We start from the raw sequence: 13,632 nt of genomic DNA on the forward strand, positions 1-13,632 counted from the left end.
GTGAAGACAAACATCCTTTGGTAAAGTGAGTAATTGTAAGCCCTCGCTCTGAGCTTTCTTTGCAAATCTGGATTTTCGGCTCCTGTTATTTTTTCAAGGGAGAGAGGCAATGCACACTGACTTTAGCTCTTGACATTGCCAACCTAAGTATATACTCATGTGATTCCCAGATGTTCCACTTCTCACTGGTGCCACACAGGCTGGGATATAGGTCATGGCTTCTGGATGAAGCACAGGTGGAAGGCCCCTGATTGTACCATGCCATGGAGACACCCCAACTCCCACCTCAGAATACACAAACCAAATTAAAAGGTAGGTCTGCACTTGGAAATACTTCAGTAAAGTGTTGTTTCACAGCTTAGACTGTGAATCCAACAGAAGCATGAGGAAGATTTTATAAAATACTGCTGCCTGAAACCCTATACTCAGAGATTCTTATTAAATTGGTGTAGGGTGGGGCTGGTTATTTTAACATGCAACCAACGTAGAGAAACACTATTTTGAAACATACAGTGGTCTAAGCCCCAACCTAGACTTAGTGAATCAGAAAATGAGGTCCAAGCACCTGTGTCTTTTAGATGCCCCATAGATCATTCTTATGTGTAGCCAGGTTTAAGAATCTTCCCTCTTGGAGGTTTAATTCTAGGATAGAGCTCACATTCTGGAATGGAGAAGACTCAGAGAAGGCAGAATATTTCTTAATCCTGGGGTTCTCAGGAAGTTTTAGAGGAGTTATTTACAAGGATCCCATGGTCCCCTTTAGAAATCATGTGAACTTTTAAAAACTGTCATAAATGCCTCAAACACATGGGCAGCCCTCACATCTCTAGGTCTACCTACCCAGGAAATTGGACCATACCCAATAATAGCTATGAGTGAGAATTGGTCTTTCCCATTCATTTTATTTCCAACACCCAACTTTTATACTCTCGGGCAAGGGGGTTGAACCAGGGGCATATGCTTTGGAGATCTGGTACCTCAGTTGTGATCCTTTGGCACTGGGGAACTCAACCAGCCACAACCACCTGCATATATCCTGGGGCAATCCATTTCTTCTTGTTCTTAACATGTGTGTACAATCTGCCTTGTTAGCGACATCTGTTCCAACAGACTGCCCACAGCCTAAGGTTATCAAAATAGTTTCCTGTGACATGTTTATGCTATACCCATATCTACCAATAGTTTTTCCTCTCCTTTACTTGGGAGTGAAACTAGGCTTGGGGCCAGGCATAAAGCAGACCTATAGATTCAAACTAACATCTTAACTGGGGTATTTCTAAAGAGACGCCAAGCTGGTGACTTAGAAATGTTCACCTGAGGGTTCCTTTTCAGAAATGGATATGCTAGGGAAAATGCAGATAACAAATGAGGAGTCCAGAGATTTGAAAATAAGGAGAAAAAAACTGGGGAAGTGCAGCGGTTCCAGCCGGCCTTACCTCTGCCATCAGCGAGGCACCTGTTATAACCCACAGGGCTGAAGTACTCAAAGACAAAGACAGCCACGGCTGAGACGATGAGCAGCATCACAAACATCATCACCCATACGTCAGCGCTGAATGGCTCTGAGGAAGGGAAAAAAGCAGTGCTCAGGGTTAGAACAGAGAGCAAAAGAATTCGAATTAATTCACATATTCATTTCATATTTTAGGGGGTGGGGAACAAACCACAATGTGTTGTCTGCCTTCAGGAAGCCAGGGCCTAGGTTAGATTGTACTGAACCATTTCCTTAAAGGTCAAGGATTGCCTTCCTTCAAATACATGAGAAGGACAGCTTCATGCCCGTGAGCCTCTTAGGTTGTAGAGGCAGCTTCTGCCATTATTGGACCAATATCTGGGTATTTCAGTAAATGGTGCAATTGGAAGAAGCACTAGCTATGAAGTGAGTGAGTTGTATTGGACTGACTCAATTTATGTTCTCATCTATATGGCCACACCATGTAATGGAGGCCTGGAAATGCCTTCTCCAATGCTTCTGAACCTTGCAGATACAGTCTTTCTCAACAGACCTACCTACTATTTTAGAGTTGAATTTGTTCAGGAATAATTATGTACAATAAATAACCAGCCCCCTTTTCCCCTTGTATCATTTCTCTTAAACTTCCTAGCCTAGATTCACTTTTTCAACCTACTTTGATGTATTGTATGTTATCAGACATCATTAGGGTATGAGAATATAAGTCAATGTTAAAGTATCCTTCCACGTTAAATATTATTATCTGCAACAGTGGGAATTTAACAAGTGACAAGGGAACATGTCTAAGCTGTAATTCACAAACCAACTACAATCTATCCCCCATTATGAAGTGATAGGGTTGATGGGACAAGACTGGGCAAGGTAGCAAGAATGTTCCACATATGCTTTCTTTAATATCTTTAATCATGTGTGCTGAATCCTTTCCAATTGAGCTAAATATCTCTCTGGCTTGGAGGTGTCCAGAAACTAGATACTATATTCCAGAAGCCATCTCTGTAAAGGCCTATAAAAAGGGACAATCACTATTCTGTCCCATGATACAATGCTCCCTCAATTGTGTCTCAAAATAGTTCTGGCCTTTTTAGCTGTCACAGCACATTGTAAACTCATAACTAAGTGAATTAACATGCTGTTTTCTCCATCTTCCAAATCATTAATAAAGATGAAGTTTAAAAAGGGGAAAAATTGGCTGAAAATTAGAAAATATATTTCTTACTCTGAAACCTACTTTGTTATTGAACTCCCAAAGGAATTGTAAAAGCCTGGTCACTTAATCAATTTTTAAAAGATCTTGATAAAGCCCCAGTGCTTAACACACCAACTGTGAAATGCAAAACCTTTCAATGGCAGCTAGAGATGCGAGCGTAAGAGGTACAATTCAAAGGCTCTCTCCAGAGGTGTGGAGAAAACCTCTGCACACTTGACTCTAATTGATTGCAATTCTACCCTGATTTCCCTTTTGTCTAAGATTGGGGAATAACTGAGTAAAAGCACCACCTCTGTGGTCTTTTCCTCCCATTAGGCCCAGGGAAACTTTCTATACACAAAATACATCGTCTGTTTTGGTCTTTACAATTTAGAAACTACTTTTACCACATACTATATATATAATCCTTCTAATGGCCCTTTCATTAGGGATTACCTTATCTATTTTATGGAGGAGTAAACTAGGACTGAGAGGTCAAGGTTCTTTCCAATTCATACTCAGAAAGTGTCAGGGTCAGCTTACAAACTGAGCCAAAAAGTCTGTGTTTTTTCATTGTATTACATTGCTCTTTGTCCCCCCATGCTGGTTCCTGGGTTAGGGGCTGAACTCTGAAACGGCCTTATTTGTACTAGAACACAGGTTCTGAAGGCTACCATAGCTGGATTTTAATCCTAGAGCTGCCAGTTATCAGCTAAGAGACGGCTGGAAAATGGCTTAATAGGTCTAAGATTCAGTTTCCTAAGCTATAAAATGGGTATAATAACATTTTATGAGTTAATATAACCAAAGGATGTACAATGATGCCTGGCACATTATATAGTAGGTGCTCAATAAATGTTGGCTTCTCTTATCCCTATAACTAACTGCTCCTCCTCTGAATACAGACGTAAACACACCCTGCCTGACATTTCTATGCTATTCCAGGGATATATTAATGTACCACTGGCTCTGCCAGTTCAGAAGTTAAGGTAGTGCTATACTGACAAGGTTAGAATTAGAATGTGGTTTTGTTTATATCTCTTAATGTTCCAACTATCCTTGCACAGCAAAAAAAAAAAAAAAAAAAAAAGCAAATAAAATATGTATAGAAGCTATGAGAATTACTGGATACAGTGTGTACTATCTAATCACATTTCACATAAAATTGGCAAGGCTGGAATTTGCTTCACTCTGAGTAAGAAGATTAGCTAAGAAATTTGAGTAATTTATAGAAAAATTCTATGGAGCCTATAACTCCACTTTGCAATGCATTAATTGAATTAATTCCCTATGGTTAGAGCTTAAAGAAATGTTAGTCACTGTCTACTGTAATAGCCCCATTTAAAAAATGTTGATGTGCCTTAGAGAGACGGTGACTCGTCCAGGGGCTTACAGCTTGTTTATGCCAAACCCAGTCTCCTTTCTGCTAGCCCAGTGTTCTGTTTTCAAGGTGACGTTTTATTTTCCAACCCCTCATTCCATGGCCCCTGCAAAAAATATGGGGTATGAGCTCACAAAAGACCTCATCTAATTGAAATCTTGGCCTCATCTCACCCAGTCTTATATCACGTCTGAGATTTTTGACATTTAAGTGATGCTGGAGAGAATGGTATGGGGAGGGGTGCAGTGGGGTGGGAGGAAGAATCAGATCAGCTCTATCTGGCAAAGCCTCAGAAAATTTGCGTGGAAACAAAAAATCTTTTTTGGTAGCTCTGAGCGCAATTCTTGCAGATAATTAAAAATAAATAGATATTTCAATGATATCCAGAATTAGAAATTATTATGGCAAGAAGCAGTCTCAGAGATCAGCCTGGTTGAAATGACTTCTCCTATGGATGAGGAAACCAAGTCCCCAGATACAGCAAATTTGCTCAAGGTCACATGCTGACTAAATGGCAGGAATGGGACTACAGTAAGCCCTCTGAGGACCAGCCCAGTACTACTTTCTTAGATGGCATTATGCTTTCCTATTTTTCTGGGTGTTCATCAGCTTTCATGTTTGAGAGTAATTGATTTTGAAGTCCCCTAAGTGAAGTCCCTGGCTGAGTTGAGCTCCTAGCAAACCACCTTCTAGCTGGAACAGCCTGGCCATGTGCTCCTTTTTTCCTTATTTCACTTCCCCATCCATACGTCCATTTCCTTCCACCAGCAAACCCATCATTTACCTAAGAAGGCAGAAGGTGAGACAGTCCCATTGCTGCGTGACACCATGACACTGATGCCTGTCTCTATGAAGGGCACAGAGAAGTCGACCACCTCCGATCGTTCCTCATTGATGGTGAGTGAGCCCACTGCCATGTAGGCCCTCTTCATGACCACCTAAAAGAAAGGCGCGATGCTCCAATTAAAACATTCAGGAGGGCAAGGGACCACCACAAGGAAAATACAGCCTATCAGTGGTTTTCTTTGTATAGTGGGAACAATACATCTTATTTGCCATTTTATATTTTCTGAAATGCATAAAGTGAGCACGTTTTAAACTTATATTTAGAAGAAGGAAAATAAATGAAAATGGAAATGGAAACAGCCCTTGTGGACACTCACCTCTCCAATCATACCATTCCAGGTTCCATTGATTTTCTTCCCATGCTTGCCATTGGTAACCAGGTAAAGGTCATAGGTGAACTTCACAGATTTAGAAATTTTCTTAAGGATGTCAATACAGAACCCCTTGCAGCATTTTTTGATGTAACCCGGCTCCTCGTCTGTTTTATTCCTAGCCAATTAAAGAAACAAAAACAAACAAACAAAAAAGTCTTTGTACAAAAAGCCAACATTTATTACCCTTTGCCATTAAAAAACCTCCAATCCCAAAGCAGGCCCCCTTCACAGCTCAGCACAATTTATACTAGACTCGAGTGAAGAAATAAAGCAGGCAACAGACCTGCAATATTCTCATTATCTCGTCATATTGAGATATGTTTCCTCTTAATTTTAATTCTCCTTTGAAGTACAAAATACATAAGAAAAGGGTGCATATTTGAAGGCTTCAGTTCAATGACTTTTCAGACTGAACTCTTATTAATCAGCACCCGGATCCAGATACAGAAAAGTTACCAGTACCAGAGAGGCCTCTTGTTTCCCACTCTAGGCACTTCACACCAAGGAGAACCATTATCCTGACTTTTAAAAGCATAGATTAGTTTTATATTTTTCAAAAAATGGTTCTAAATCTCAAGATTCTGGGACATGCTGGCCCAAGAAAACATATTTGAACACCAGAAGTAAACTTAAATCTCCATAAACTTGAGGTCCTAATCATTAAGGCCAAGCAAGACCGAAGAAACTTTAGCGTGGGAAGTTGGCCATCATTTTCCCAGGTCACCAGCTGGACAGAACGAGACATCAGACCAGAGGGCTGCCAGTAATCCCACAGCTCAAAAGCAACTAGAAATCAGACACAGTGCCCAATTCTCATGCCTCAGGTCTCAGGCCAGCCAAGTGCTAACAGGTGCATCAAAGCTGACTCTCCCATGCCACCCAAAGTCATTGAGAGGATGCCATACTCAGTGACTATGCGTTTTTGGCAGGGGACTGTGTTCCTCATGCAGGTTCCACTCAGAGGGTCCACACTTTCCACAATGACAAATGGTGCCTCCTCCAGGGTCACAATGCTCAGATGGTCATCCTCCTGCTCTTCAGTCTCTGGACACATTCGGGGCCACACATAGTACTTCATCTGCAGGGACTTGTCTTTCCACTTCCCCACCTGCACAAGGATGAACACAAGAATCAGAAACCACTGGCCACAACATAACAAACAGCCTGTCCCAGTATTGTCTGAACAATCCCAGGAAGCAGTTGAACAAAAGCCAACAAGTGCCAACATTGTACATACTAGAGATAGGAATACTTTTTAAATCATGTGCCCCAAATGAGACTACTGTGTCCAAATGTAAGAAAGGCAATACATTCATTTATCACTCACTTACCAAACATTAAATGAGGACCTACTATGTGCTGGCACCCTGTTAAGACCCATGGCTCAAAGAAGCATCATTCTATCCTTCATGAAGCTCACAGTGAGTGGAGTCAGATATGTAAACAAATATCTTGCAGCGCTGTGTAGTAAGTGAGGATGCTGGAGTTCCCGCATTATGTGTGGCTGCCAGTTTTTTCTATTTAACTGTAACAAGGAGCATGATGGTGAGAGCAGCAGATAGCTTTGGAAATGTCAACAGAACAATGGGAGCAAATGAGCCAAAATGATGTGTTTTGGCTGTAGAAGAGATCCAGTGGGGAGAGCTAGGTGGATCTAAATTGGAATAAAATTACAAATTGGGATTAAAGAATACTAACACTGTTTGGGAAGGGAGCACAGTTAGGCTGGGGATGAACATGGGTCAATGCAGATGTGCACCTCCTGGGCTGGGTGGAAGCCCTGGGATGAATCAGATATGTCTCTCTGTGAGCCACCACCTATGGCCACACAGGCTGAGTGCCCCAACACCATGGAGCACCATCCACATGGGCTCCAATGTGAAAGGCCAGTGTCCCTGAATCATGAACATGGCGGCCTGCTGGCAACCATCCTGAGAAATGTATGGGTTCCATTATTTTTCAGAAGAGCCACTCATTCCTATTTATAAGGGAATCAACATGGCTTTGTTGGGGGGTTCTCATTCTCTCTGTCTCATTGAGTTTAATGGAGAAAGAGGGAACACTTGCTTATTTTCTATAACTGAGCATCTTCAATTATCGTAAGGAATTATGGATTGCAAGCACCTGCATTTTCTCAATCTATGATTTCCTCCATGCAGCAATGCAAATTAGTAGAACAGGTGAGGCACCAGGAACTACAGCACCACTTAATTTATTAACTACAGAAATCAATAAGAAGCAACAAGTTGGTAGGACTTCATAAATTTTCAAGCAAATCGGCTTGGATTTCCATATTAATGCAAAACCCAGACTCCCTCCTTCTTGGTTTCTTTGTCCAGTAGCCTGCATAGCCACTGCCCTTGTGTTACTGCATCATTATAATGCAGGCAGTGGCTTGGTGGCATAGGCTATCTTATTTGGTACCTACACAGTCCTTGTTTGGCTGATGCTGGTTGGTTTTCTTTCAAGGGTATAAATGATGTTTTGCTTCTTTGTTCAGAATCATGCACTGAACCAAACGTTTGCTTTCCTTCATGTGTATAGGCTTCTCTGAACTGTTGATCCTGATTTTAGAACAAGTCCGTTTTTTCTCATATTGCTAAGACTACTTATTTCTAAAACAGAAATTTCCAAATGGCTCTCCAGCCAGTGGAGATACTAATGTCCTCTGCCAGTTTGGCCAGGTAGGAATTGGGAGAGGAGAGACTCAGTCCTGGGGGTCCAGGACATTGGTCACCCCCTCCCCAAATAGGCCTATTTACCCTAGTGGCCAAACTGGTTTATATTCTGCACCTTCAATAATGTGTAAAAAGTTGAGAAGCCCTAAAGTACTTATTTATTTATTTATTTCCTATCATCTTCCCTCAACAGTCCCTTTTGATTTTTTTTCTCTTAAATCCAAATTTATTCTTTTCCATCTTTATTGCTACTAGCCTGGCCTATTATAGCCCAGCGGCCCATTCTGACATTATTGCAGGAAATTTCAAACCTCACTAAGGGTCCCCCCAGAGTCCATTGTGGACACTGCTGCCAGATGGCTTTCTTAAAACACAATTTTGTCATATAATCCTGATTCAAAAATTTCAACAATCTCTCACTGTCCTCAGAATTGTGCCCAAATTTCTCACCTAGATAGTCAAGGTCTGTACATTGAGTCTAGCCTACCTTGATACAGTTAACTTCACTATTTTACATCATGAATCCTTAGTTCAACTTGGAAAAGGAAGTTGTTGGTATTAAGAGCTAACATGGATTAATCAGGAACACTTTGCAACGAACTAGCTGCATTTTCTTTTCTAATAGACTTACTATATCTGTGGGAAAAAATGCTACAGACATAACATTTTGGCAGAGTTTCTCAGATACTATTGTGAACAATAAGGATATTGCACACTTTGATAGATTTGAAAGGAGTTTAAAATCTGTACCCAAAAAGGAAAAAAAAGAGATTGTTTAATGAATGACTGCCAACATAGAAAAAAGTCACTAGTGTCATATCAGGGGACTCTGTTCTTAGAAGCGGCCTGGGTAGTCTTTTAGAAAACAAAATACAAGTCATGCTTACAAAATTGCAGACAACAGAAAACTAGATAGGAGGAAAGATAAACTGCATTGCAGAATCAAGTTTGGAGGAGATATGAATTAGTTGGAATGATGAACTGAACCAAACTGAATGAAATGTAACAGTATTTGTACTCAAAATCTAGCATTTTGATGTTTTAAAAAGCAATTGCACAGTATCAAAAATGAGATATTTCAATCAGCAGTCTACAAAAGCTATTGCAATAACAATGGTATATTTATAGACATACATCATCTAGCATATGGGGTGAAGGGAAGGTACGAATGATCCTACCTTGCTCTGTGTTCATCATACCACAGCTGGAAAACTGGGTTCTGATCCTATAATTCTATAATCTACTGATTTTTATTAAATATATCATTCTCATTTCCCCAACAGTAGTTTGTTCACGCAGTTCCCTCTATCACACCCTTTCCCAACTTCTACCAAGTTAGCTGGGTAATATCCTTACTTCAAGTCCATTCATTTCAACCACCAACCACTGCAAACCGATTCTGTGCCAGGCACTGGGCTATGTGCTAGAGGTAACAATACCAGGTAGCATTTGTTGAGGGTATAGATGTGCTAGGCACTGACCATATCTAGTAATCTCATTATATCACAGTGAGCCTGTGAGATTGAAGCTCACATTTAATGTTTCATTTTACAGATGGCTACAGAGGAGTTTGATGACTTGCCCAAGCTCCCACGGTAAGTGACTTGAAGCTGAGCAGTCTGACTCCAGAGCTTGGACTCCTACCCACCACTCTGCACTGCTTCTCTGACAATGAAGGAGTAAGACATGTTCCTTTTCCTCCAAGGACAGTCTAGAGGGAAAAGACACTATCCATCGACAATAATAGGCTTTGGTAATTACTCTAATATCCACTATCCATTGACAAGTTAGGCTTTGGTAATTACTGTAATAAAAGATATAAATAAAGTACTCCGGCATTCAGAGTAGAAGTGATGTTTTCTAAAAGAATCAGAAGAAATCTCACAGAGACCCTCATTTTGAGCTGTGGCTTGAAACGTAAATGATAGCTGAGGAGGTAAGAGTTATTTATCTGCCAAGGAAAGGGCAAGAGTGAGGGAACAGAGTGGTGCAGAGGCTAAATGAAAATGGCTTATTTTTCACACCTGTAAGGTCTGAGGCATGGGGAGCAATTGTCTAGCACAGTTCTCTTCCTTACGGGCCTGCTCACTGTAGCCGGATGATCTCTGCCAATCTTGAGAGCTGACTGGATTGTGCTCATCTCTTCCCAACTCCTTGTTCAAGGGTGTCAGGCTGGTAGCTTGAAACTGGCATGGGCACCGTGAAGTTGGCAAACACTATCAATCAGGCTCCCTCTGTCCAGCCCTGGCCCCTGTTGTTAAACGTCAACCAGCTCACCACTGCCCAGAACCCAATCATTCATCATTTCATGGTATCTACCACCTTCTTTAATGATTTTTTAAATGTTCCAAGTGATTGTCTTAATTAAAATAATTCTAAACATGTCTCTGAGTATTTCTGAGACTGTAAACACATTTCTAAAACACTGTGAGCCTCAGTTTCTGCATCTGTAAAAATAGGTGTGTGGCATTCTGAGGTGCCTTCCACATAATTTCATGATCATAATTTCTTTAGGACAGGGGCTTTCTACATCCTACAAATTAAAGCACGATGAAGAGGTGCTTTTAGAGGTTACTTTTTGAAGGGGTGGCAGTATCTGATTTGTTTCTACAAAATACGAGCTTGCCTTAAAGTCGTTATTTTTTTTTTTCGTTTCTTCAAGGAAATGAAAAAAAAATAAGAGGGAAAGTTAAATTCCTTGAGTACTGAAAGGTGAAACTTTTTTGAAAAAAAAAATCTGAATATCAGATTCCCAATTCCAACAAACAGGGTTCATGTTAAAGAACATGTTTAGATAGTCACTGCCAATTCTTTATGGAGCAAAGGCAGGTTACAAATGAGTAAACAACTAAAATTAACAAAAAAGGAAACAAAAATTATGTAGAAGAACAAGGTGTATTTCAAGCAATCTTTCTCTCAAGGGGGAGAAAGTATGGTGAAAAATATAAATGGAAAAGTTTGAAAGAGCAATGAAAAATAGTAAATAGAGAAAGAGAAGCCGGAGACACCAAGCAAACATCTTGAAAGTGCATCCAGGATGTCCGAAGTGGTGTGAGTCTACAATCCTAGAAGTGCAGACAGCGGTAGAACATGAGGCTAACAGGAGATATTTCAGAGACAATGTAGCGAGAAGAACTGAATGAAGAATTTATGCTTGAGATTAAAATATGATCAGGAAAATAAAAAACCTTAAGAAATAATGAAGAAAATGACTGTAAAGCACTCAGAATTCCTTTGAGGTAACTAAACAAACATCATTACCATAAGCACATTTCACAACATCTGTCTACAAAAAATTCAGTTATCTGCCATTCTAACATTTAAAAAGATCTCTTGAGGACCAAAATCATCTTTTTCAAGAGAAAAAAAAAATTGCCTAGTTTTTGTTTTTTTTTTTTTTTTTTTTTTTTTTTCAGAAAAACAGTGATGTTTTAGAGTTTCTGGTTTGGTTCTCTTGGTACAGGCTGAACACCTGAATAGCTGGGAATTTCTCCTCAGAAGGAAAGTCTACCTTACAAACCTGTGGTACCTTCGAGTGGACTTGGCTCATAAGGCTTCCCGTAGGAAAATTCTAGGGAACTAATCTGTAATGCTTTTAGACTTCAAAGTCTTCCTTCTGCTAACAGATTCCTCCATTACTGCCAGTGAAATTGGCACCAATTAGCACCCTGACAAGGCCACACATTAAAAAGACCACAGAGACTGTGTTCCTCTCTGAAAGCCCCCACGTTTGTCCCCCCACCATGAACAGTTGATGTGAGCAGAAGGGCGAATGTGTCATTGTGAAGAAGGGAGAGGGGACCAGGGCAGGGTATTGAGGCTGCTGCAGTCCTTGCATAGATTAGCAAAGGACATCGGTCTCCTCGGGCTGCCTCTCTTGTCTGCATAGAAAGTCATTTTTTAAGATTCTGGAGCAAAAACACTTATTAGAGCCTCTTTAGGCGTCAAAGGTTATTTTTCAAAAATCAAAGCATTTTTGTTTTTTGCTTGAGATGACATCTGGATGTAACATGAAACACTTGCTGCTTATTTTAAGCCTTCATCTGACTTTTAAAATGTGAAACTTAAAGCTACATGCTATTTCCCTGAGCAAGCTAAAGGAAGAGGCAGAGTCTCTGCAAGGCAGCCTAAATTCTGCATCCCATTCTGTCCTGCAGCCCCGGGGCAGGCCTCAGACTCTGAATAGAGCAGAAATCCGAGGACAGGAGGACACCCTCACTTCCCCACCCCCAAAGCTATACATCTTAACTCAACTCTGAGGATTTTTAATGTTTGAGTATATGATAATACTTCATTTTGCTCAATCTTTGTTTTTCTCTATTTACCTATCTTTAATTTGTTTTCTGCTACTATAAAAAAAAACACACAGACTGGGTAATTTATTTTTTTTTAAATGTATCCCTCACACTTCTAGAGGCTGGGAAGTCCAATATAAAGGTGCTGGCATCTGGCAAGGGCCTTCTTGCTGCATCATCCCACGCAGAAGGCAGAAGGGCAGGAGAGTATGTGTGAGAGAGAGAGCAGGAGAGAGCCAAGCTCACTTTTATAACAAATTCACTCTCTCAATAACCAACCCACTACTTTGATAATGTCATTCATTCACTCATGAGGGCAGAGCCTCAGGACCTAATTGCCTCTAAAAGGTCCCACCTCTCAACAACGTTGCATTGAAGATTAAGTTTCCAACTTAATGAACTTTGGGGGACACATTCAAACTACAGCACTACCTCTCCCCCTCATTTCTTTGTAACCAAGTGAACATTCTAACACTGTATGGCCCTGCATTATCTGTATCCGTTCAAAATACATCTACATATATACAAAGAAGGGGATTTGTGTGACTTGGTATGTATGCGTGTTTCCTAAATCAAATCATAATACACACATTTCTCTACCACTTACTTTTCCCACTTCAGTGTGGAATTTCTTCCAACAGTAGATCTAACTTCTTTTAAGAACTGCATAGTAGCCTATAATAATGAATGTGCCTTTATTTACTCAAGCATAGCCCTATTGATATTTATGATATTTCCAAAAAATTAACCAGAAGACATAATACATATCTTGGTATTTCTAAGGCATCAATTCCCAGAAATGAAAAGGCGGAACAAAAGGATATGTATGTTTTTAAATGTTCTCAATGGTGCCAGAATACAACAGTTTGCAACAATTGAAATTCCTATCAGCAAAGCACAAGAGCGCATCCTGCTCACACTCTCACCAGCACTAAGTTTTTATCACTACTAAATGCTTGCCAATCTGAGGAATGAAACACAATATCTTCCTGCTCTAATTTTCATCTCCTTGCCTCACAGTGAGCGCAAGCACCTTTCCACATCTCTTAGCCATTTAAATTTTCCTCTTTTACCATCTAGTCACATCTTTTATCCATTTTCTATTGAGTTGTTTGTCTTTCTTATCCATTCATAGAGAAGAGCTCCTGGTGTAGTATGATAGTAACCCTTCATCTCTCAGGTATGCTTGAAATATTGTTCCCACTCTGAGATTTGTCTTCTGACTGGTCTTTTTTTCTGTGCACAAAATTTTACTGTTTTTCTTTTGCAGTAGAACATAATATTCTTCTTAAATGGAGGGTTGGTTTCCTACCTAACTTGTAAAACAATCTACCCCATTCCCAAAGTGTTCTTCTTTGGTATTAGTATACTTTTGCATGTAGCTTTTCCTATACTACA

General features: G+C 40.2%; 1 protein-coding gene and 1 long non-coding RNA gene across 5 annotated transcripts in view; one reads left to right on the forward strand and one right to left on the reverse strand.

Annotated features, from left to right (window-relative positions):
* Positions 1 to 9,783, forward strand: part of LOC105369668 (uncharacterized) — a 38,041-nt gene extending 28,258 nt beyond the window's left edge. For 2 of the 3 annotated variants that reach the window (XR_931373.3, XR_931372.3), the window contains 2 exons: positions 4,810 to 4,938; positions 9,494 to 9,783. This is a non-coding gene — a long non-coding RNA (uncharacterized LOC105369668). Of the gene's footprint in view, positions 1 to 170; positions 313 to 4,809; positions 4,939 to 9,493 lie in introns of all 3 variants that reach the window. The other variant, XR_001749013.2, reaches the window with a different exon arrangement.
* Positions 1 to 13,632, reverse strand: part of GRIN2B (glutamate ionotropic receptor NMDA type subunit 2B) — a 444,798-nt gene that overhangs the window by 72,952 nt on the left and 358,214 nt on the right. For both annotated transcript variants that reach the window (NM_001413992.1, NM_000834.5), the window contains 4 exons: positions 6,167 to 6,369; positions 5,205 to 5,376; positions 4,826 to 4,979; positions 1,437 to 1,562 (listed from right to left, as the gene is read on the reverse strand). In NM_001413992.1, coding sequence (NP_001400921.1) covers positions 1,437 to 1,562; positions 4,826 to 4,979; positions 5,205 to 5,376; positions 6,167 to 6,369 — 655 coding nt within the window. The remainder of the gene's footprint in view (positions 1 to 1,436; positions 1,563 to 4,825; positions 4,980 to 5,204; positions 5,377 to 6,166; positions 6,370 to 13,632) is intronic.

The sequence above is a fragment of the Homo sapiens genome, chromosome 12, assembly GCF_000001405.40.
Source record: "Homo sapiens chromosome 12, GRCh38.p14 Primary Assembly".
NCBI lineage: Eukaryota > Metazoa > Chordata > Mammalia > Primates > Hominidae > Homo > Homo sapiens.